This window comes from Homo sapiens, chromosome 3 (genome assembly GCF_000001405.40).
Source record: "Homo sapiens chromosome 3, GRCh38.p14 Primary Assembly".
Lineage (NCBI taxonomy): Eukaryota > Metazoa > Chordata > Mammalia > Primates > Hominidae > Homo > Homo sapiens.
Window position 1 is genome coordinate 195,366,865 of NC_000003.12, and position 26,757 is coordinate 195,393,621.

General features: G+C 38.8%; 1 protein-coding gene across 13 annotated transcripts in view; it reads right to left on the reverse strand.

Annotated features, from left to right (window-relative positions):
• Nucleotides 1-26,757, reverse strand: part of ACAP2 (ArfGAP with coiled-coil, ankyrin repeat and PH domains 2) — a 168,276-nt gene that overhangs the window by 92,120 nt on the left and 49,399 nt on the right. For all 13 annotated transcript variants that reach the window (NM_012287.6, XM_011512603.3, XM_006713557.4 and 10 more), the window contains 3 exons: nt 25,226-25,283; nt 15,039-15,158; nt 14,145-14,198 (listed from right to left, as the gene is read on the reverse strand). In NM_012287.6, coding sequence (NP_036419.3) covers nt 14,145-14,198; nt 15,039-15,158; nt 25,226-25,283 — 232 coding nt within the window. The remainder of the gene's footprint in view (nt 1-14,144; nt 14,199-15,038; nt 15,159-25,225; nt 25,284-26,757) is intronic.

The window sequence follows — 26,757 nt, forward strand, 5'->3', positions numbered from 1 at the left end:
TACAACAGTCATCAGGACACTCTTTCCGCCAAGGGCTAGATATAATAAGCATTGAAGCTTGTGGGCCATGAGGCCTCTATCACACTACTCAACCCTGCTGCTGTGGTGTAAAAGTAGCCATAGACAATACAGAAACAGAAGAGCATAGCTGTGTTCCAGTAAAAACTTATATGCCCCCCAACCCCGCCAAAAAAAAAAAAAAAAAAACGGCAATGGGCTGGATATGGCCTGCAACGCATGGTTTGCCAAACTGTGCTCTCAAACAGTGGTTTTCAAATGTTAGAATACATCAGAAACACCTGGAAGGCTTGTTCAAACACAGATTGCTAGCTCCCAGACACAGCTCCTAATTCAGCAGATCTAGGGTGGGCTCTGAGAATCTACAGTTCTAACAAGTTCCCAGATGGTGCTGATGCTGCTGGTCCAGGGACCACTCATTAAGAATCAGTTATCTCAAACTTTACTAGTGGTTCTCAAACTTTACTGCAATGTCAGGATCACCTGGGGAGATTTTTTCAATTATATGCTACACTTCAAATGACATAAATAAAACTCTGGGGGAATGGGGATTAGTTGACTATTGTCAAGCTTCCTAACACTGAGTCCTGGCACACAGATCAGGTATTGAAAGGCAACCTATATATATGACCACCATCAATTCCTCCCATCCCTGCAGGTGCGTGCCACTCTCCCACTCACACGGTAGAGTTGATTTTCCTTACCCTGAATCTGGGGTGGCTCTGAGTCTTGCTTTGATCAAAAGAATGCAGAAGTGATGCGATGTGACTTGTAGGCCCAGGCTTTAAGGGACCATGTACCCACTGATTTCACATTCGTGAAGGCCAACTATCACATTAAGAAGTCTGACTAGCCTGCTGGGGAGAGAGGCCAAATGTAGAGAGAGAAGTCCTAGAAGATGAGAGACTCCAAAGGGTGAAAGAAGCTCAGCCAACACCAGTCATTCCAGCCACTCCAGCTAAGGTAGCAGACATGCTGAATCCTTCAGCCACAGTCAAGCCACCCAGCCAGCACCAACTAGAGCAGAAGTAAGCTGATCCCTCCAAGCCCCACTTGGTGGCTGTTTTAAGTCACAAAGTTTTGGGGCAGTTGTTAAACAGTCAAAGTTACTGACAAGATGTTGGTAGCCGTATTTAAGATATTGATGTTTATAAGTTTTTATAGTGATTTTTAAAGCTGCAAACTACTTGGTATAATTCAGAATCTACAACTGCTAAAATTACATTTTGGTACTATTTGTATGCCTGTCTGTTAACTCTCTGGTTTTTTGTTTGTTTCTGTTTCTGAGACCAAGTCTCTCTCTGTCACCCAGACTGGAGCGCAGTGGCTCGATCTCAGCTCACTGCAACCTTCGCCTCCCGGGTTCAAGCGATTCTTCTGCCTCAGCCTCCCAAGTAGCTGGGATTACCGGCATGCACCACTATGCCTGGCTAATTTTTGTATTTTTAATAGAGACGGGGTTTCACCATGTTGGCCAGACTGGTCTCAAACTCCTGACCTCAAATGATCCACCCATCTCTGCCTCCCATAGTGCTGGGATGACAGGCGTTATCCCAGCCACTGTTTGTTAAATTTCTGAATGTAGTAATTACTACTTTGCCAAAGCTATATTAATTCTTCCTCCTGCATTCCCATTTGAATCATCCAAAACTATATTTTACCACAATTTGTGTTATCATTTCATGTTATTTTTCATATTTTTCCTACTAATCATGAAATTACATATCGTTGTTTCCATAGCATCATCATTTAGTATTACAGATTCTTATTAGAATATAATTGTTTTTGTTATTTTTCAGCTGTTACTTCTTCATTTTTATTTATCATTGGCTTTTGGTGTTAATTAGCTAAAGTGTGACTTGATGAAATTTCATTTATAGTAACTCCTAACCATAAAAATCATTTCTAAAGAAGAAATCGGCAGAGCACAGTGGCTCACGCCTGTAATCCCACCACTTTGAGAGGCCAAGGCGGGTGAATCACCTGAGGTCAGGAGTTCAAGACCAGCCTGGCCAACATGGCGAAACCCTATCTCTACTAAAAATACAAAAATTAGCTGGGCATGGCGGTGGGTGCCTGTAGTCCCAGCTACTTGGGGGGCTGAGGCGGGAGAATCACTTGAACCTGGGAGGCGGAGGTTGCAGTGAGCTGAGATCGTGCCACTGCACTCCAGCCTGGGCAACAAGAGCAGAACTATGTCTCAAAAACAAACAAAAAAAAAAAAAAGAGGAAGAAATTAAGTGTACATAATTAAAACTTATTTTAAATAAATTGTAGGCCTTTAGAGATTCAAAAACATTTTTTTAAATCTGATTTTCTGATCATACGTAATATTTATGACACTGACTAAAATGAATTATTGTTTTGTTTACTAAATGCTTAATTTTTTATTTAGCTTTTATTTTAGGTTCAGTGGTACATGTGCAGGTTATATAGGTAAACTCTTATCATGGGGGTTTGATGTACAGATTGTTTCATCACCCAGGTAACAAGCCTAGTACTTGATAAGTTATTTTTTTCCGATCCTCTCCCTCCTCCCACCCTCCACCCTCAAGGGCTTCAGGGACAGTTATTCCCCTCTTTGTGTCCACATGTTCTCATTATTTAGTTCTCACCTACAAGTGAGAACATGTGGTATTTGGTTTTCTGTTCCTATGTTAGTTTGGATAATGGCTTCCAGCTCCATCCATGTTCCTACAGGACATGATCTCATTTTTATGGCTGCACAGTATTCCACAGTACATATGTATCACATTTTCTTTATCCAATCTGTCATTAATGGGCATTTAGGTTGAATCTATGTTTTTGCTATTGTGAACAGTGCTGCAATGAACACTCGTGTGCATGTGTCTCTATGGTAGAATGATTTTTATTCCTCTGGGTATATACCTTGTAATGGGATTGCTGGGTCAAATGGTAGTTCTGCTTTTCGGTCTTTGAGAAATCACCACACTGCTTTCCACAATGGTTGAACCAATTTACACTTCCATCAGCAGTGTATAAGCAAGCATTCCCTTTTCTCCACAACCTTGGCAGCATGTGTTTTTTACTTTTTATTAATACCTATTCTGACTGGTGTGAGATGGAATCTCATTGTGGTTTTGAGTTGCATTTCTCTAATTATTAGTGATACTCAACATTTCTTCACAGGCTTCTTGGCTGTGTATGTCTTCTTTTGAAGTGTCTGTTCATGTCCTTTGCCCACTTTTTAACTGGGTTGTTTTTTGCTTGTTAATTTGTTTAAGTTCCTTACAGATTCTGGATATTAGAGCATTGTCGGATGAGTAGTTTGCAAATATTTTCTCCCACTGTAGGTTGTCTGTTTACTCTGTTGACAGTTTCTTTTACTGTGCAGAAGCTCTTTAAGGTCCCAATTGTCAATTTTTGCTTTTGTTGCAATTGCTTTTGGCATCTTTGTCATGAAATCTTTGCCAGGGCCTATGTCATGAATGGTATTTCCTAGATTTTCTTCCAGGGTTTTTACAGTTTTGGGTTTTACACTCGAGTCTTTAATCCATCTTGAGTTGATTTTTGTATACAGTATAAGGAAGGGGTCCAGTTTCAATCTTCTGCACACGGCTAGCCAGTTATCTCAGCACCATTTACTGAATAGGGAAGTCCTTTCCCTCATTACTTGTTTCTGTCAGCTTTGTTGAAGATCAGATGGTTGTAGGTGTGCGGCTTTATTTCTGGACTCTCTTCTCTGTTCCACTGGTCTGTGTCTGTTTCTGCTCCAGTACTATGCTGTTTTGGTTACTGGGGCCCTGTAGCATAGTTTGAAGTCTGGGCCAGGTGTGGTGACTCACACCTGTAATCCCAACACTTTGGGAGGCCAAGGCAGGGGATCACTTGACATCAGGAGTTCGAGACCAGCCTGGGCAACATGGCAAAACCCTGTCTTATACTAAAAATACAAAAAATTAGCCAGGTATGGTGGTGGGCACCTGTAATCCCAGCTACCTGGGAGGCTGAGGCAGGAGAATCACTTGAACCCAGGAGGTGGAGGTTGCAGTGAGCCAAGATTGTGCCATTGCACTCCAGTCTGGGCAGCTAGAGTGAAACTCTGTCTCAAAAAAAAAAAAAAAAAAAATAGTTTGAAGTCTGGAATGTGATGCCTCCGGCTCTATTTATTCTTTTTGCTTAGGATTACTTTGGCTATTCGAACACTTTTTTGGTTCCATATAAATTTTTTAAGGTTTTTTTCTAGTTCTGTGAAGACTATCATTGATAGTTTGATGGGAATAGCACTGAATCTGTAAATTCCTTGGGCTGTATGGCCATTTTAACAGTCTTAATTCTATCTATCCATGAGGATTTAACATTTTTCCATTTGTGCCATCTCTGATTTCTTTGAGCAATGTTTTGTAATCCTCATTATAGAGATCTTTCACCTCCTTGGTTAGCTGTATTCCTAGGTATTTTATTCTTTTCCTGGCAACTGTGATCAGGATTGTGTTCCTGAATTGGCTCTCGGGTTGGATGTTGTTGGTGTACAGAAATGCTACTAATTTTTGCATGTTATGTATCCTGAAACTTTGCTGAAGTTGTTTATCAGCTGAAGGAGTTTTGGGGCTGAGACTATAGGGTTTTCTAGATATAGCATCAAGTCATCTGCAAACAGTGATGGTCTGACTTCCTCTCTTCCTATTTGGATGCCCTTTATTTCCTTCTCTTGTCTGACTGCTCTGGCCAGGACTTCCAATACTATGTTGAATAGGAGTGGTGGGAGAGGGCATCCTTGTCTTATGCTGGTTTTCAAGGGGAATGCTCCCAAAATTCTTTTTATTTTTGAGACAGTCTTCCTCTGTCACCCAAGGTGGAGTGCAGTGGCGTGATCTTGGCTCACTGCAACCTCCACCTCCCGGGCTCAAGCAATTGTCATGTCTCAGCCTCCCAAGTAGCTGGTTATATAGGTAATACAGGCACACACCACCAAGCCCAGCTAATTTTTGTATTTTTAGTAGAGATGGGGTTTTGCCATGCCCAGGCTGGTCTCAAACTCCTGGCCCCAAGTGATTCACCTGCCTCGGCCTCCCAAACTTCTGAGATTACAGGCATGAGCCGGTACGCCCAGCCCAAAATCCTTAATTTTATAATCTTTCAATAAAATTTACATTGAAACATTTTAAGAAAGCAGAATTACATTCATACAGGAAGATTTGCAGGCTAAACCTCTGCAAACACAAAATAAGACACAAAGTTATTTTACGAGATTAGTTACAATAATATCAGATCGAGAAGCTAACTACAAGGTTACTCAATTAAGAGCTACAGCCAGAATGCTGCATACAATTGCAGAACTGTAAACGTACCAGCCTACAGGAAAAAAATGTCAAGAACTTTGTTAATTTCCAAAGCAGAACAAGAAACAGAAAAGGTGCCACATTTCATTAAGAGAATAACATTTTATGGCATGCCAGATAAACACATGCATAATGACTAATGCTACTCTATCAAAACTTTTTCATTCTGAGTGAAGCTTCTGCACATGAGTAACTGCGCTCAAGCTAACAGCAGAAAGAACACCTGAGGCTGGACACAGTGACTCACGCCTCCGACCTCAGCACCTGGGAGTCCCGGAGACGATCACTTTAGCACAAGACCTCAGCAGCGACCTGGGCAACACAGTGAGACTCTGTCTCTAAAAAAGAAAAAAAGCCAGACACAATAGCCCGCACCTTGTAATCCCACTACTCTGGGAGGCTGAGGCAAGAACATCACTTGAGCTCAGGAGTTCAAGACCAGCCTGGGCAACACAGGAAGACCCCCGCTCTACAAAAAAAAATTAGCCAGGCATGGTGGCACACCTGTAGTCCTACTATTTGGAAGGCTGAGGCAGAAGGATCACTTGAGCCCAGGAGATAGAGGCTGCAGTGAGCTCTGATCATACCACTGTACTCCAGCCTTAGTGCCAGAGCAAAACTCTGTCTCAAAACAAAATAAATAAACTCTGAATATAGTACCTCGGAAGAGCACTGACTGTTTTGCAAACTACCTAAAGAAATGCCTAATAATAAACAGCATGAACCCGGGAGGCGGAGCTTGCAGTGAGCCAAGATGGCACCACTGCACTCCAGCCTGGGCGACAGAGCGAGACTCCATCTCAAAAAAAAAAAAAAAAAAAAAAAAAGCCTAATGATAAAAGTAAAAATGCTAAAGAAAAACTGTGAAACAAAAAAGATATTATGGAAACACTGTAATTTTGCATACTGATAGTGTAGCTAACAATGACTACAAGATGTAAACTTACATTAAGAATTTATTTGGAGCCAGGTGCAGTGGCTCACATCTGTAATTCCAGCACTTGGTGATGTGGGAGGATTGCTTGAGCCCAGAAGTTCGTTTAAAAATAAAAATAAAAAATTTATTTGGAAAACTCTGATGATCTAGTAAAATATTTTACAGAGGATCTTTCATATATAAAAGTATGCATGTAGATATGATACATATTAATCCCAAATTAAATGTTATCAAAATGATAAATAATCTAAGACTATTTAAACATTTAGTATCATCAAAGAAATACTATGAGAATATCACTGTCTTCCATTTCACACAAAAGTGCACTGACTTCCAGAGAACAAATTTTGCTAAAATTTATGAATTAAAAGTAGAATTCAAACAGCTTGGGAGGAATAATTCTCAACTTGCAGATTTGTTTAACACTAGTTATTGACTTTAAAAAATGGCTTTACTAACTGGCACCCTGCTATCTGATTAACTTATATGAAGCAGTCCTTAAAATTTTTGACAATTCACATATACTGCCAGGGACAGTGGCTCACACCTGTAATCCCAACACTTTGGGAGGCCGAGGCGGGTGGATCATTTGAGGTCAGGAGTTGGAAACCAGCCTGGTCAACATAGTGAAAGCCCATCTCTACTAAAAGTACAAAAATTAGCCAGGTGGTGGACACCTATAATCCCAGCTACTCAGGAGGCTAAGGTAGGAGAACTGCTTGAGCCCAAGAGGTGGAGGTTGCAGAGAACCGAGATCACGCCATTGCACTCCAGGGCAACAGAGCAAGACTCTGTCTCAAAAAAACATATACTGACAAACTTTATGGATTCAGAATGTGGAAACATGAGGCTGAAACTGAGTCACTAAGTGAGTCAGTGCTAAAATCTGAATTCAAAAAAAGAATTATTAAAAGTAGGCAGAAGGGGGAAAAGGTAGAGCAACTTCGGTGTAAACCTGCAGAAAGGCTTCATTATTTTATTCAAAATCCATCCAGGTCAGGCACTGTCATCCCAGCACTTTGGGAGGCCAAGATGGGTGGATCACTTGAGGTCCGGAGTTCGAGACCAGCCTGGCCAACTTGGTGAAACCCCATCTCTACTAAAAATAAAAAATAAAATTAGCCAGGCGTGGTGGCAAGCGCCTGTAGTCTCACCTACTAGGGAGGCCGAGGCACAAGAATCACTTGAACCCAGGAGGCGGAGGTTGCAGTGAGCCGAGATCAGGCCACTGCACTCCAGCCTGGGGGCTGATCGAGACTCCATCTAAGAAACAAAAAATCCAATTTATCCCAGAAAATATAAGCATTACTTGTGTCAATCAGAGAAAAAGAAGAGCACTTCCATTTTATGAATGATTGCCTCTTTGAACTACAACTTAAGAAGATGAAATTATTTAAGTTCTAATTACATGTGAGAGAGGAGCTCCTGAGAGTTAGGGGAAAAGGGCAACAAATATTCCTCTGCCTTTTGCTAATATGCCTATATAGGCAGTTTCTCGTCATTAACAATGACCAATAATTTGAAAGGATCATCAATTTTAAATCTTGATCAGGAATTGCTTGAAAATATTTCATGCAGAAGACCTTTTCTTTTCTTTTCTTTTCTTTTTTGAGACGGAGTCACGCTCTGTCGCCCAGGCTGGAGTGCAGCGGCACCATCTCGGCTCACTACAAGCTCCGCCTCCCGGGTTCATGCCATTCTCCTGTCTCAGCATCCCATAGAAGACCTTTTTTTTTTTAAAGTTAAGTTTATTGAAGCAAGCTCAGCCTTATTTTTTAAAACATCTGGACCATGCGTACTGGCTCACTCGTGTAATCCCAGCACTTTGGGAGGCCAAGGCGGGCAGATCACCTGAGGTCAGGAGTTAGAGACCAGCTTGGCCAGCATGGTAAAACCCCATCTCTACTAAAAATACAAAAATTAGCTGGGCCTGGAAGCAGGCACCTGTAATCCCAGCTACTTGGGAAGCTGAGGCAGGAGAATCGCTTGAACCCGGGAGGCAGAGGTTGCAGTGAGCTAAGATCGCACCACTGCACTCCAGCCTGGGTGACAGAGTAAGACTGTCTCAAAAAATAAAAAATAAATAAATAAAAATAAAATATCTGGACATGTTATACACATTCAATACATAATATCTTCCCTAATACTGTGTTTTCTAAAAATATAATTCCATTAAAAAGAACCTTAAAATTTTTTCACCCAGATAGGTGCCCTTATCTCCCCATGAAGTTTTCTCCAGTGTTCCATACAAACATGACTATCATTTTCAATCTGTGCCATGAAATGAGATGACTTGTGAAACACTGAAACTACCCTGTTCTCACTGCCTAAAACCATTAGTTGAGTGACTAAGTGTACAGCTCTAAATTGAAAAATCAACTGTACAAAAAAAAAAAAAAAAAATACTGGCCAGGCACAGTGGCTCACACCTGTAATCCCAGCACTTTGGGAAGCCGAGGCAGGATGATCACTTCAGCCCAGGAGTTTGAGACCAGCCTGGACAACACAGCAAGACCCCATCTCAACAAAAAAATTAAAAATTAGCTGAGCACGGTGATGCATGCCTGTGGTCCCAGCTACTCAGAAGGCTGAGGCTCCTAGGAGAATCACTTAAGCCCAGGAATTCAAGGCTGCAGTGAGTTATGATCATGCTACTGCCTAGGCAACAGAGCAAGACCCTGTCTCAAAAATGATAGACAGACAACAAAAAGAGTCATACATGTTCATAGAATTTATGTAGCAAATCAACGTTAAAGCTGCATTCAGCAAAGATAATAATCAAATAAATATCAAATAAATATTCCAAGTTCCTTATACCAACAGCAAATTAGAATCCAAAAGTGTCATCAATGGAGTCACCAAAATCTCTTAAATTCTAGGAAAATAAGCCACTCTTCAAACCAATTCTAATATCTAGTAGAATGTAGCATACCTGACCTGCTCTGAAAAAGTCATGTGTGTTCACATCTTATAAAAACATATGCATTAAGGCCAAGTGCAGTGGCTCACACCTGTAATCCTAGCACTTTGGGAGGCCAAGGTGGGCCGATCACTTGAGGTCAGGAGTTCGACACCAGCCTGGCCAACATGGTGAAACCCCATCTCTACTGAAAATATAAACGCTAGCCGGGTGTGGTGGTGGGTGCCTGTAGTCCCAGCTACTCGGGAGGCGGATGCACAAGAATCACTTGAACCTGGGAAGTGGAGGCTGCAGTGAGCCAAGGTCACGCACTCCAGCCTGGGCAACAGAGCAAGACTCCATCTCAAAAAAGATATATATATATTGTGATAAAACAAAAGAAGTTTAAACATAATACTCCTGAGGAAGGAGAACCACTTGAACCTGGAAGGTGGAAGTTGCAGTGAGCCAAGATCGCACCACTGCACTCCAGCCTGGGAGAGAAAGCGAGACTCCATTTCACAAAAACAACAACAACAACAAAAACATATGAGTTAAAGAGAAACCTAGGATATTCTCATTCTAAAAGGAATAAGAAGAGTTCTATCCATTTTTACAGATAAATAAATAAATTACATGATAATCTAAATGATTTATTTTATTAAATGACTGGACAATCTGACTCCAACATATGTTTAATCTTTACGTGGCTAATAACACAAATGGTTTTATTATTTTCAAACATCTATTTAAGCCCACAAAGTTGGTAAATGACACCTCTGGAATATCCAGACTTTTATCCTTACACAAACTGATATACCAAAGCCCAACTGTTATGAGCTCTGCTAGAGAATCTAATGCAGGTTACACTATTTATTATCTTTTAGAAAGCAGTTTTTCCTAATCATCCTTTATATTGGGATGCTATGTAATTAGAATTCCAGAGAATGCTACAAAAATAAAGCATTTTATGTAACTAGGCTTTTCCTACATGTTAACAAATGGCTCTGAGACCAAATTTAAATCTTATAATAAATGCCTCATGATTTTATAAATTTTTAATAATGGAAAGTCATCTAGTAAATCCCCTTCATTTTACAGAGGAGGAATGTAAATCTTTTTTTTTTTTTTTTTTTTTTTGGAAACAAGGTCTCACTGTGTCACTCAGGCTGGAGTGCAGTAGTGCAATCACAGCTCACTGTGGCCCCAACTTCCCAGGCTCAAGTGATCCTCACACTTCAGCCTCCTGAGTAGCTGGGATTACAGGCATGAGCCACCACACCCAGCTAATTTTTCTATTTCTTGTAGAGACCGAGTTTCGCCATGTTGCCCAGGCTGGTCTCTAATTCCAGGGCTCAAGCAATCAAACCACCTCAGCCTCCCAAAGTGCTGAGATTACAGGTATGAGCCACCACGCCCAGCCTACAGAGGAGGAATGTAAATGTCAGAGAAATTAAATGACTTCCCTAAAATGAGAGTTATGTAACTACTGGGAGTATAACAGTAAACAAGGTAAGTGTTATCCCTAGCCATCGTCTAATTAACGTGAAGTATAACAGGGCTATGATGAGGGAAGAACTTTTGCCACAAATATAGGAATTCTAGTTCAAGTGACACAAGTCATTCCTACTGAAAAAAATTTAAAGTATTGGTTACAAAACAACAAAAAGGCCAGATAGAATAGATGGTATATTAACTATAAAAAGAAGAAAATTAAAAGAAAGTAAACCAAGGACTCACAATTTCATTTTTATATCTATTAAAAAGAAAATTTCTGAGACGCTGTCAAAAATAATAAGGGAACAAAATACACACTGGACTTCTGGGTATAGTGTCAGACAAAAAGTTCTTCATGTATAGAAACATGTACGTAAACACAAACAAGCTGACCAACATACAGCCTTCAGACCTCCAGGCAGACGGACAAAAAGTGGTTTTTTTCTTAGTATAAAAATTATCTTTTTAAAGCAACATGAGTTTTAGAGTCAACAGAGAGTATGAGGTTTCTCAAGTATAAGGAATAGTGAAAAAGAAGAGGGAGGGAGGGAGGGAGGAAGGGAGGAAGGGAGGAGGAGGAAGGGAGGAAGGAAGGAGAGAGAAAGAAAGTGAGAAAAGTGGAATCTGCTTAGGTTTCAGGAATGTAGGTGCACATTAAGATTAAGAGCACTAGTATTAAAAAGACCAATCTCAGCTGGGTGCAGTGGCTGACGCCTGTAATCCCAGCACTTTGGGAGGCCAAGGCAGGCGGATCACAAGGTCAAGAGATCGAGACCATCCTGGCCAACATGTTGAAACCCCGTCTCTACTAAAAATACAAAAAATTAGCTGGGCGTGGTGGCACGTCCCTATAGTCCCAGCTACTCCAGAGGCTGAGGCAGGAGAATCCCTCGAACCCAGGAGGCAGAGGTTGCAGTGAGCCAAGATTGCGCCGCTGCACTCCAGCCTGGCAACAGAGCGAGACTCCGTCTCAAAACAAAAAACAAAACAAACAAACAAAAAAAAACAAAAAAAATCTCTATTCCTCCAAAGGAAATAATACATATATACCTTGCTTCAAGGCCAGGTGCGGTGGCTCACGCCTGTAATCCCAACACTATGGAAGGCCAAGGCGGGTGGATCACTTTAGGCCAGGAGTTTGAGACCAGCCTAGCCACCATGCCAAAATCCCATCTCTACTAAAAATACAAAAATTAGCCAGGCATGGTGGTACATGCCTGTAGCCCCAGCAACTTGGGAGGCTGAGGCAAGAGAATCACCTGAACCCGGGAGGCGGAGGCTGCAGTGAGCCAAGATCGCACCACTGCACTCCAGCCTGGGAGACAGAGCCAGACTCTGTCTCCAAAAAAAAAAAAAAAATTATTTGCCAAAAGTTTATCTTAATCATAACTTTTCACATTTAAAACCATAAGAGCAAGGTATTATTATATAAAGAAATAGCATAAGATTTACTGCTTTAAAGAAAAGGAGAGGAATATTTCAAAGGATAATAAATTATAGAAAAAACATTTAGTCTATTATGTCAATTTACAGTCAATCACTTATATAAAAAAAAGAAAACTTTCTTATTAAAGAGAAATCAAATATACCAAACACTGCCATCTAAATTCAACAGAAGGCAAAAAGAAAACTATTACGTGGTCAAATTGGTGTCAAATACTAGAGCTAAAACCATAAAACTCTTAGAAGAAAACCTAAGGGTAAATCTTTATAACCTTGAATTTGGCAATGGATTCCCTTACACATAACACCAAAAGCACAAACAACAAAAGACAAAATAGATAAACTGAACTTCAGACTTCATCAAAACTAAAAACTTTTGTGTGTCAAAGGATATTTTCAAGAAAGTAAAAAAGAAAACCTACAAAATGAGAGAAAATATTTGTATAACATATACTGATAAGGGTTTAATATCCAAACTATGTAAAACAAGTGTAAGTCAACAACAACAACAACAACAACAACACAAGCCCAATTAAATAACTGACAAAGGGACTGGGTGTAGTGGCTCACACCTGTAATCCCAGTGCTTTGGAGGCTGAGGCGGGAGGACGGCTTGAGCCCAGGAGTTCAAGACTAGCCTGGGCAAAAGAACAAGACCTCATCTCTACCAAAAACAAACAAACAAACAAAAAATTGGCCTGGCATGATGGCACATACCTGTAGTCCTAGCCAATTGGGAGGCTACAGTAAGAGGATCACTTAAGCCTGGGAGTTCCAGGCTGTAGTGAGGTATGACTGTGCCATTGCACTCCAGTCTGGGTGACAGAGTGAGACCCCATCTCTAAATAAATAAAGGACTTCAATAGACAACAATGGTAACAATGACAGAAGATACACAAAAAACCAGTAAGCACATAAAAGATGCTCAACTGCATGAGTCATTAGGGAAATGCAAATCAAAACTACAATGAGATACCACTTCACACCTACTAGGATGGTTATAATTTTTTTTAAAAAATTGACAATAACAAGTGTTGATAACGATGTGGAGAACTTGGAACACTCAAACACTGCTGGTGGAAATGTAAAATGGTACAGTCTCTGTAGAAAACAGTTTGGCAGTTCCTCAAAAAGTTAAACATAGAATTACCATATGACCCAGTAAGTCTACACCTAGGTACATGCCCAAAAGAACTGAAAACAGGCACTCAAGCAGATACTTGTACATGTCAATATTAGCATAGCTAAAATTTGAACTATAATTAAAATAAACATTGTCATATTACTGCATCCTAAATATGCTAACCAACAAAAAAAAATTAAAATCAAATTAAGAACCAAAAACAAGCAGATTTTATGAAGATTATAAGTATTGATATTTTTATTACAGACTGGCTAATAAATTTTAAAGCACTGATTAAATAATTATACAACAGCCATATCAGTTAAGCTTTTTAAAAAATATAAGAAACATACAGCTTATAAGCTGCCATATTTGCAGTAAACTTTTGCAAACTTTGTAAAGGAATTTTGTGACACTCCCAAAGTAATATATATCCCTCATTCTTGAAGGATAAATGCCCACAAATCTTAAACACACATATAAATAGCTCAAAGAATATAGCACTCTTTAATATTGGTAATTGTTTAGATAAAGGGAATATATTGGTAAGTATCTAAAAAGAAACAGCTACATTTAAAATGACTTTTACTTCTTTATTCTTAAGTACATGCTTAAAAATTTTACAAAGCCACAACTTAAAGGGAAAAAATTTAACTTTTGGGTATATGTCCTTCAATGATATTAAGTTCACTATATTAGAATGGAAAATAATACTCTTATTCTCTTCTTTCACAGGCATGCATGCACACACACACTCACACACAAATACACACACAGCGTACATTTTAGATTCACCCAGCTAAAAAGTTGACGACCAATCAAAGCCATGTAATTCCCTTTTAGTCATTTCATAAAACATTGCGACTCAAGAAAAATACTAAAATGTTAATATGGTCATAGTAACACCTACTTACTGACACTTACTGTGTGAAAATTTATCATTTCTTGAAGACTGTCAGAAAACTTGGTCAAACTTGTCTATGAGAAAAAAAGCAAAAGAAAACCAAATCATTTATGAGCCACTTAAATAGGTCACAAAAATGTGACCTCAGAATTTCTGACAGAAGATCAAGTTACACTGTAAACAGTAACATTTATTTCCAATGACAATCTCACACTACCTTATGGGTACACTCTGCAGAGGTCACCTCTACACGTGGTAACAAATAAAACCCTAAAAATGTGAAAGAATTAATATTGCCCCTTCAACGGTATTATGCTAACAATAGAAATGGTAAATATAAACCTAAGGTAAAATTGTTTTGCGTGTATCAAGATGGCCCATGTAGGCATCTAGAATCAAATCATCATCAAACTACACCCATTTCTTCACCAGTTATTATTTCTCATGAAAGAAATATAACACCACATAGTATACCAAGGAATCTAAGCTAACCGAGCATAAGCTGGCTAATCAGAACCTATACAGCCCCCTATACATACAGTTAAGACGCTGTACTTAGGTTAATGCTCTCTGCGTGCCCCTATAAGCAGCTACTAGTAGGCATGATCTTGATCTTCCTGCTCAGGCCCTCTGACAGGTGCTTCAGCTCACCTAGCAGCAAGTAAACTTAATAAACTAACCACAACAATGAGAAACTAGGTGAGAAGAGCCATGCTAGATAATGCGCAATGCAAATCAACCATCACCTTCTCTTAGAAAACAGAATCATACAAGAGAGCACCAAGGGGTGACCACTTTTCTACTTCTAATTTTAAGTATCACCATAACTATAAATCAGGTAGATGAATGCACAATTCTTTAATGTCTTATTGCTTTTTTTTTTCATTTTTAACTGCAATTTTAGTAATACTAACCTCAACGACAGCATCATTACTAGAATACTGAGCCAGGTCTCGAATCCCATTCATGAACTGTTTATTTGCAACACAAAAGGCTTTTCCAGTATCAATCATTGCAATACAAAGTTTCACAAGCTGAAAAAGAAAAAAAAAATTCATCAGGTTGAAGATAGTTTTACAAATTACTTAGTTGAACAAGTGTTGGCAGTAACTATATGAGGTGACCTAGTTAAGTTCAATTTGTTTCATCGATAAACTCAAAACAGACTAATTGAAAAGTATTCTTTTTTCCTTCAGCTTATAAAGTAAATTCGTAGCAGAGTTGTACCAGAAAAGTTGACCATTTAGGATCCAGAGGCTGTGTGATAACAACAACAAAAGTATTTTGGAGGAAAGGTAAGTAAACTGTATGATAGCTTAGTGATCATTTCAATATTAGTCTATCAACGCAGATAGCTAAAGTGATTAATCAACCATGTATTCAAAAAAAAAAAATGTCTCTAATACCTATTGTTCCAGGCATTGTCTAAGCCTTAGTACCGGGCTCTTCTCTTTCTTTCATCTTTCTCTTTCTCTCTCTCCCGTCCTTCTTCTTTTCATTCCCTTTATCCCTCCAACTCCCTGTTCTTCCATTCCTTCCTTCCTTCTTTCTCTCCTTTCTTTCAGACACAGAACATTTTCTTTTACCAAAATCTTGGGTAAATGTCAAATATTAAAAAACAGATAAAAGTGAAACTGTTCTAGACAAAGGAGAGAAAAGTACTAAGGGGATGCAAAGGGGGGTCACCAAGAAGAGGATAAAGAGCCAAGAAAAACTTTAGAAAACTCCTGAAGGATCTCAAGAGCATAAATTAAAACTGCTGCCCTGAGACCTAGGGGAACAGAAAATGAAAACATCACCTCTGCTCTCAAAAACTCTAATTCTATAATTCTAACAAGTAGATAAATTCTACAGAGCACAAACACAACTACTATGACAAAACTATGCATGGAAAAAAAAAAAAAAGGAAGACCATCTAACGAGGGCTGTGGGGACCAGGGAAGGATTCCTAGAAAAGGCAACAGAAGATATTGCTATACTGTTAAGGGCTTTTGATTTATCAATGTGCATCCAAGAGGGGAGGTATATAATATGTAGCAATTCCCAAAAATATGTGACCATGGAATTCTTGTTAAGAGGAAGCATTATTATATGACCAATATTCCACAAAACCCACTGTGAGAAATGCTGGCACAGATGTCTTTTAAATTGTTTGCTATTTACAATATAAAATAAAATGTCTTGCCAGAAAAACTGATTCTAAAGTTCATATGGAGTAACCACTATGCAAGAAGAGCAAAAAAATATTTGAAGAGTAATAAGGTAGGAACATTAGTACTATATGATATTAAAATATATTATAAAAAGATAGTAAATAAAAGTCTGGTAGTAAATGCAAATAGACAAACTGATCAATGTAAAAGAATACACAGTCAAAAAAACAGATACAAATATGCCATATTTGATTAAAGTAATACTCCAGCCAGTGGGGGAAAAGTTATCTGATAAATGATATTAGGGACACTGGATAGTCATCTGAAGGGGATAAAAAAAGAAATTAAATTGTATTACAGACTCCCAAGTTAATTATAGATAAAGATTTAAACATAAAAACAGAATCAGAAATCAAAGAGAAAAGAGAAGGTTTTTTTTTTCAATAATCTCAAAGTGGGAAGTCTGAGAAGGATGCAAAGCTCAAATACTATGCAAAAAAAAACTGATCAATCCAATTACATAATAAGACATTTCTATAAGGAAAAAACAAACACAGTCAAAAGAAACAACATAGGAAAACAATATTAAGATAAATCACAAAGGACAAGTTTCCGTACCATAAAAAAGGGTATATAAATCATTTTGAAAATCCAACTATTCACTAGAAAAAATGGGTAACATACATGCAGAGATAATTACCCCCCAAAAAAGAGATACATGTGTCTTAAACCCATGAAAAGATATTCATTCTCACTATAATAAAAGAAATGGAAATTACTATTTTTTTTTCTTTTACTAACAGCAAAGATGAAAAAGTTTGATAACATGCTGTTTTAAAGAGGGCAGTTATGGGGAAATAGTCACTCTCACGCATTGTTGGTAGGAGTGTAAATTGGTACAATATCTACAGAAGGCAGTTTAGCGAGAGCTATCAAAATTTAAAACATACATACCTTCTAACTTCGCAATTTCACTTTTTAAAATGTATTCTACAACTATATTTTACAGATAGGCCATATGACACATGTAAAGATATTCACTGCGGTAACAGTAAAATATTGGTAGCAAGCTAAGCGTCTCTCAGTGGACAGCTAGATAAATAAATTATGATATAGCCATGAAAGGTAATACAATTCAACCATTTTTTAAAATGAGACAGCTCTATAACAACAAATAACATCCACGATATATTAAGAGAAAAATCAAAATGTAGAACAGTGCTAATATTTTTGTTGAAATGGGGAGAGTCATTTGTACTGAAGAGTACAAATACTTTTATATACTTAGAAAATTTTGTGAAAAGGCCAGGCATGGTGGCTCACGCCTGTAATCCCAAAACTTTGGGAGGCCAAGTTGGGCAGATCACTTGAGGTCAGGAGTTCAAGACCAGCCTGGCCAATGTGGCAAAACCCCACCTCTACTAAAAATACAAAAATTAGCCAGGCATGGTGGTGCGCACCTGTAGTCCCAGCTAGTCAGGAGGCTGAGGCAGGAGAATTGCCTGAACCCGGGAAGCAGAGGTTGCAGTGAGCTGAGATCATGCCACTGTACTCCAGCCTCAGTGACAGAGCGAGGCTGTCTCAAAAAAAAAAGAAAATTGCACAAGGGCGCAAGAGAAACTAGTTCAGTGCATTCCTCTAGGAAAGAGATTAGAAAATGACTGATTTTCACTGGGTACACACTTTTTTACCTTCAAATTGTGTACTACATAGGTGGTATTATGCAACAAATTAAATTCAAAAATAATTAAAAGTTTCCATAAAAACAAAGAGAGACAGGTTAATAGTAAAATATTACGGCAAAAAATATAGGGTTCTCAGCTAAGTCTGCTTAGGTTCAACCTACTGTCATACTTAAACATCTAAGTGAGACTGAGTGAACTTAACCTCAACAAACTTCCATTTCTTCTTCTGTATCACACATAACAATGGTACCAAACCATATATGGTTACTAAAAAAAAAGACTAAGGGAATGCACATAAAGATTCTTAGCACAGGCGTGGCTCATGCCTGTAAGCCCAATACTTTGGGAGGCCAAGATGGGAGGAACTCTTGAGGCCAGGCATTTGAGACCAGCCTGGTCAACAACCCTATCTCTGTATTCAAAAAAAAAAAAAAAAGATTCTTAGCACAAACTTACTGGCACATGGTAATTATTCAATAGAGATTTGTGCTTCCTTGTCAGAGGGAGAGGTTTTCCTATTGTTGTTTGCTTTTGTTTTGTTTTACTAAGAAACAAACTTAGTAAAAAAAAAAAAAAAAATCTTTATCTACTTAAGATAGAGGTGGCAGAGAAGGGAAAGGAGAGAGATGCTAAAGCAAAGTCCTGAGGAGGTAAGGGGCTTGGAACTGCATAGAAAAAGGGATACTTTTATTATTCAAAGAAGCAGAAAAACTAAAATGGTAAGAACAGATTCTGTTAAACTTCTAGATTAGCAGCAAGAAATAAAGGCATTCCCACCAAGCAGAAGAAGAGACAAGGTCATCTGTTGAGAATGAAGAACAATGTGGCAAATCCTGAGGTCTTGAAGAGCCACTAACGGTAACAAGAAAGGCACCTGACTGGGTCTGGAGGAAACTGCTTTATATCAAGAATTCCAGGAATGTGTAGCACCATCAGTTGGTTTCACCAAACAGTTGTGTAACTTCCCCTGTAGGGTTTTATAGGCCAGATACGGGACAAATAATATAGATGGTCAGACTTAAAATAGTGGAGAATTCTGCAGAGTAGCTATTATGGAAGGGACATGAAAGTCTCTGAAGAGAAATAATGATGTAATAACATTAAGAGTACTCTGAAAGGGATCATAGCAGCATTATTTACAACAGCCACAAAAGGGAAACAACTCAAATGTCCATCAACTGATGAATGGATAAACAAAATGAGGTACATCCATGCAATGATGCATTATCCAGCTATAAAAACAAAGGACTGATACATGCTACAACATGGATGACTCTTAAAAACATGCTAAGAGAAAGGAGCTAGTCACATAAGACCAAATATTGTATTATTCCATTTATTTGAAATGTTCAGAATAGGCAAATCCAGGGACAGAAAGTAGATTAGGTTGCCAGAAGACAGAGGGAGAGGAGAATTGGGAGTGACTGCTAATAGATACAGGGTTTCTTTTTGGGGTGAAAAATATTTTGGAATTAGATAGTGGTGATAGTTGTACAACACTGGGACTATACTAAAAACCATGAATTACTCACTTTGAAATACTGGATTTTATGTTAGGTTAATTTTATCTCAACTTTTTTTAATTACAAAAAAGAGGAATACATTGAAGTGTATTTAAAAATTATCTGAGCAGCCATAAAAAAGAATGGGTTCATGTCCTTTGCAGAGACATGGATGAAGCTGGAAACCATCATTCTCAGCAAACTAACACAGGAACAGAAAACCAAACACCGCGTGTTCTCACTCATAAGTAGGAGTTGAACAATGAGAAAACATGGACACAGGGAGGGGAACATTACACAGCGGAGCCTGTCAGGTGCGGGGCAAGGGGAGGGAGAGCATTAGGACAAATGCATGTGGGACTTAAAACCTAGATGATGCGTTGATGGGTGCAGCAAACCACCATGGCACATGTATACCTGTGTTACAAACCTGCACATTCTGTACATGTATCCCAGAACTTAAAGTAAAATTTAAAAAAAAAAAAAGTGATCTGGAATATCACAAGCGGATAGTGAAAGACCAGAGGTAGGGCTGAAGAACAAAAGCAGTAATGAGGCTGAGAACTGGAAGGACTGGAGACTCAACTCAGAAAGTAGGATATCAGCATTCCAGATTTCAAAGATTAGAACCCTGGGTGATGAGGCACAGAACATAGCCATGAAATAGGTATCAGAAGTAGAACAGAGGTCACCATCACAGGAGTTACAGAGAAAATGAAATTGTCATACAGCAGAACCACATATACGCTGCAGCTATCCAGGAGGAAGGACGGACTTGGCAATGAAGAGGGAGGGAGGCAGAAAGAGAGAAGACTGAGATTTTGCCAGCTGTCAAAATACTTGTTAGATGACACTGATAAATGAGATTCTAACTGAATAATATAAACCTACAAAGAGGGAAGATTTTTACCTACAACAAGATTAAATGTCAAGTCCATCTAAATTATCAAACTAATATCCCTAATTCATTCAACAACTTTTTACTAAGCAATTACTATGTCATAGACACTCTGCCAGATGATAGGAATACAAACAACTTATCTGCTGACTATCCTTGAGTAACATACTCTCCAATTCTTGTTTTTTCATGCGCAAATTAGGGATATCAATTTTGCAATATTGCTATAATAATAAGAAATAATATAAGTAAAACATAAGACTTTGTATACACCAAGTACACAAAACAAATGAGGGTTTTTTCTTTTTCTTTGGAAATGGGGTCTTGCTCTGTCACCCAGGCTGGAGTGCAGTGGCGCACGCACACAACCACGCCAGGGGCACCATACCCAGCTAATTTTTGTATTTTTAGTAGAGACAGGATTTCACCATGTTAGCCAAGCTGGTCTCAAACTCCTGACCTCAAGTGATTCGCCTGCCTCGGCCTCCCAAAGTGCTAGGATTACAGGCGTGAGCCACCACTCCCAGCCCATTTTTCCCCTTTTTAAGGACAATCTCTCTTCAAGGAGCTAACAGTCTGTTGAAGAGACAGCATCATTGTTTATTTAGAATTTACCACGTGCCAAGAACTGTGCTAAGTACTTTACATGTATTATCTCATTTTAGTTTCATAATAATCCTATGAAATAGACACTCTTATTTTCCCCATTTTGGAGAGAAGAAACTGAGGCACAGAAAGGTTGAAGAGCTTGTCCAAGGCCATATTGCTAGTAAATGATAGAGCCAGACTCAAACCCAGCAGCAGCTCCAGGCTTTGTGTTCTTAACTACCAGGTTATGCTACCACCCAAAACTATAATATTATAACAGCTTAAATCAGAGTACATGCAAGAAACAATGCAACAGAAGAAAAAGAGCCAATGTTTGTGTTCTTAACTACTAGGCTATGCTCCCCACCCAAAATTACAATACTATAACAGCTTAAATCAGAGTACATGCAAGAAACAATGCAACAGAAGAAAAAGAGCCAACATTTGGTAGTACTTGGCTGAGATTTAAAGAGTATCTGCTCAATGGGGAACAAGCATGCCAGTCAGACAATGCAACACATGCAGAAATTAAGCCTAGATGGCAACTATGATGCACTATGATGCTGTCAATGACAGAACACCTGGCAAGAATGGATCAATAATTGAACTCCGTAGAGCAATGCCACTCATAAAGCCTTATTCACCACAAAGAATGAACTACTGGTGGCATACATTATAGGCAAAGTCAACAAGCTAGTTTAACCTGTCCCTGGCATGATTTACAATGATACTATAGGTGGAACTTGCCCTGCACAAAGCTATGAAATCATTAACCTAGACTTGGAGCAACCCCTCCACCACCCACATTAGTCCTTCACTGACACTACCTTCAATAACAACCACTTCCTCCTCTCAGCCTCTCTTCTCTATGCTAACTCCCCATAGTTTCTAAAATAAAAATAATAGTTAATAGATTAACAATTTGAGCTGGGCATGGGGGCTCACGCCTGTAATCCCAGCACTTTGGGAGGCCAAGGCGGGCAGATCACCTGAGGTTAGGAGTTCGAGACCAGCCTGGCCAATATGGTGAAACCCTGTCTCTACTATAAATACGAAAAAATTAGCCAGGTGTGGTATCGTGTCCCTGTAATCCCAGCTACTCAGGAGGCTGAGGCAGGAGAATCGCTTCAACCTGGAAGGTGGAAGCTGCAATGAGCCGAGATCACACCACTGCACTCCAGCCTGGGTGACAGAGCAAGAATCCATTTCTTAAAAAAAAAATTAAAAATTAAAAAAAAAAAAAAGAATTTGGAAGAGGTACGAAATATAAAAGTAACTATGGAACTTTAGTGCGAGGGAAAACAGTGATTTTTTTAAGCTGTCAGGTTTCCATGTGTCTTGGTAGCCCTTTGGGTAAGACAGACTCTAGAACGGGCTTATAGTTCTTAGCACTCAATGTCGATACTTCAATAACTTGTTTCAGATTTGAATCTTTTGGTCTGAAGATTCTAGCAGTGTGTGTGCCCTACCCCAAGTGAATAATACAAAGGAAAAAAGAATCCACTCATAACAGCAAAATAATCAGCAAAAACACTGTCAGTGGATTCTATCTGTTTAGGTATTTTAAAGTCTGAGGTGTCCCACCACAGTGTTTCATATGATTTACATGTGGTTCTACCTTATTACCTTACTCTTATTTCATGTATATAATACATATGTAATAATATATGTATCACTTATGTATATATAAGTAATAAGATATCCTTCTTATACCACTCTGTGATTCTAGAAGGACTTGCCCCTCTACATACTCTCTCATAAATCTTCCATAAAATCAAAACTATATTTTCTGTTGTCTACTTTGAGAATTTAAAATTTTGTTTTAAAGAGTACTTGAAAATAAATGTAATGCCTCAGGGTAAAAAATAAAATAAAATAAAATAGTAATAAAAAGCCAGACATGTAATTTTTAAGTAGAAAACGAAGGCATTTTCAAATAATCTCCTTATCCAAAATTAAAATATTAATTTTTACAAAGACTTGCTGGAAGCCAGCTAGCGTTCCTCAGAACCTTTCCCAGTGGCAGGTGCTCCCCCAACGCGGATCCTGAAGTGCAGTGATGCGCAAGAAGAGCGCTGAACTGATCATAAAGACAGAGGGGCCGGGTGCAGTGGCTCATGCCTGTAATCCCGGCACTTTGGGAGGCCGAGGCGGGCGGATTGCCTGAGCACAGGAGTTCGAGACCAGTCTGGCCAACACGGTGAAATCCCGTCTCTACTAAAATACAAAAACTTAGCCAGGCATAGTGGCGTGAGCCTGAGGTCCCAGCTACTTAGGAGGCTGAGGCAGGAGAAGTGCTTGAACCTGGGAGGCGGAGGTTGCAAGTGAGCCGAGATCGCGCCACTGCACTCCAGCCTGGGTGCCTGAGCAAGACTCTGTCTCAAAAAAAAAAGAAAAGGGGTTCTAGCCCTGGTTGTGCCTCTTCTACTTTGTGATTTGAAGCAAGTCCTCATCACTTCCTTGGGCTTTGGTATCCTCAGCTATAAAACGGGAGTAATAACACTTGTCCTATCTAACCCTACAGGATTATTGTAAAAATTAAAAGGATACTACTATATATTACAGGGCTTTAAAAATTATACAGTACTATACAAAAATAACTTATCTCTAAACATCTTCTAAAATTTTGATGTAATTTGTTTACATATAGAACTAAATATAGTTTCTAGACTATTTATATTATATAAAGATGTGTGTTTCATGGTTTCAAAACATTTGAAAACCTTCAGCTTAATATATTTTATATCCTTGCTACTCAAAAGCGTGGTCCATGGGCCAACAGCACGGGCGTCACCTGGAATCCGGTTACAAACACAAAATCTCAGGTGTCTCCAGCTACTGAATCAGAATCTGTTTTTTCACAAGATGGGATCCCCAGGGAAGATCCCCCAGGGGTTCCTAAGCAAAGTTAAGGTCTCAGGAGCACTACGTTACACAGCAATGCCATTTATAATTATAATTATTAAACTAGAAAATTATTTTCAGAAAAGGTATTTCAAATATATACATCTGATTTATCTCCAGAAATTTAAAGAGAAACATGTAAATGAGCAGTGGTTTCAGAAGTATCTAAACAAATGGATCGGAAGCTGTCTTACTCATTCTACTGCTTCTGCCTACTATATAGCAAACAGTGTTTCTTGGACAGACACCAAAAAAATCATCAATAATATAGATGGAGGGAATCAATGTACATTTACCCTTCCATAAAATATGACCATACAGATTACTGAGTATCTATAAGTATTTCTGGTATTAGCTTAAAAATGGAATTAATATTTTAAATTGTATTTACATTTGAACGTGGCCAGACCCAAATTTATACAATGGTCAGGTTATATATGAAATCCATTAAGCAACAAAAAAGAAAGATGCAATCTTTTTGGTAGAAAATACAGAAAAAGCTTCTCTTTCTTTTTTTTTTTTTTTTTTGAGATGGAGTTTCACTCTTGTTGCCCAGGCTGGAGTGCAATGGCACGATCTCAGCTCACAGCAACCTCCACTTCCCCAGCTCAAGCGATTCTCCTGCCTCAGCCTCCCGAGTAGCTAGGATTACAGGCATGCACCACCACACTAATTTTGTATTTTTTTAGTGGAGATGAGGTTTCTCCATGGTGGTCAGACTGGTCTCAAACTCCTGACCTCAGGTGATCCGCCCATCTCAGCCTCCCAAAGTGCTGGGATTACAGGCGTGAGCCACCACACCTGGCCCCAGAAAAAGCTTCTAACAACATAAAGGATGTTTAGTGAGCTTTGAAGTCAGACATGGATTTGAATTCCTGCTCTGGCACTTAGATTAGACTTTACACAAGCTACTTAGTGTCTCTAGTCTTACTTTCCTCATGTGTAAAACTGGGATAATAATAGCATTTACCCTCATAGAGATAAAAAGCTACCAGGCCAGGTGCGATGGCTCACTCCTATAATCCTAGCACTTTGGGAGGCCAAGGCAGGTGGATCACCTGAGGTTAGGAGTTTGAGACCAGCCTGGCCAACATGGGAAACCCTGTCTCTACTAAAAACACAAAAAATTAGCTGGGCATGGTGGTGCACGCCTGTAATCCCAGCTACTTGGGAGGCTGAGGCAGGAGGATCGTTTGAACCCAGGAGACGGAGGTTGCAGTGAGCTGAGATCATGCCACTGCACTTCAGCCTGGGCGACAGAGTGAGACTCTGTCTCCAAAAAATAAAAAAGAGACCTACTACTGTAGGTACTAATCATTATTTACAGCAAACGAGAATCAATGTTTCAAAAAGCTAACTTGTAAAATTTACCTTATCAAGTTTTAGTTCCAATTCTGCCACATCACCTTCTACTTCTTCCAAAGCTGCCCTAGAAAAATTAAATATAAAATAAGTTATTTCGTTTGTTTAAATGTACACTTTACTCTTGAAAAGTAACTCTAAATGAAAAGATAGATATGAATGCTTAAAAATTACACTTCACATGAAGTAATAATTACCTTGGAATTTAGTATCAATACTTCATAATCATGCAATACAACAGGTAATACAATTACTGTTTAGGACAATGACAGAACACATTACGCTAATTTATACTCAAAGCATTAGTATCATTCCAATTAATAACACAAAATACAGCTATTTAGCACGTACTTTTTAAATAAGTGAGAAATTTTAAAAGTTGAGGTGTACAAAGAATTGGATTTCTTGATAACAAAACACATGCAACCAAACTGCAAGGCGTTGTTGGCAACCAAGAAGAGCTTTTACTTTCAGAAATAGCTCAGAACAATACCACCCTTGTTTTGTTTCCAAAGTATTTTTTAATCAGTACCTAAGACTAATTTTCATCTCTCTTCTTCTCCTAGCAATATAATTTTAATACAGAAAAATTAGCAAAGGTTAGATTATGTAAAATGCAGAACTAAATAAGCCAAATATTGTCTTATTGACAAAAGAGAATACAATTATAATAACAGTTAGCACTTCATACCACACTACAAGGCAACATTTCAAAATTGGAAATTTGTCTGAAACAAAATAGCAGCAACTAAGTTTTGGGGATGAAAACATTTTACACTCAAGAGTATGTATAACAAAATGTAATTCATCTACTTTAAGTCATTTATGCCATTTTCATATATCTACTTGATAAACTAGCAATTCTCAAGTAGGTATTTTAAGATTTAACTAAATTTTTAAGTTGGATAGTAATGGGGGATTTACACTGAGTAAGATATTCTCAGGAGACAGAGCTAGGATGAAAACTATTTCCAGAACAAGCATGGTGGCTCACACCTGTAATCCCAGCACTTTGGGAGGCTGAGGGGAAGGACTGCTTGGACCCAAGAGTTCGAGAGCAGCCTAGGAAACACAGGAAGACCCTGTCTCTACAAAAAATAAAAAGATGAGCCAGGCGTGGTGGCTCACGCCTGTAGTCCCAGCTACTCAGGAGGCTGAGGTGGAAGGATCACTTGGGCCTAGGAGGTTGACGCTTCAGTGCACTCCAGCCTAGGTGCCACTGTCTCAAAATAAAACAAAAAACTCTATTTCCAGAACTCCCACTTCACCTCTGTGTGACCTCTGAATAATCATCTTATTGACTTGTGATTCTGCTTCTCCACTGGGTAACATTTATTTTTAAGAAGTGTTTAAATCTCTAAAATAAGAAAATAACTTTGAATTATTCAGTAAAGAAATGCCTATGATAAAATGAGATGCTCTAGCATATGACTGGAGAAAATGGAAGGTGCTGCACTCTGTAGCACAGAAACAGAAATACTTCTTCCTGACTAAAAGTTTCTCATTTGCTTCAGCAACGTTTTTCAAACTATGCATTGTCC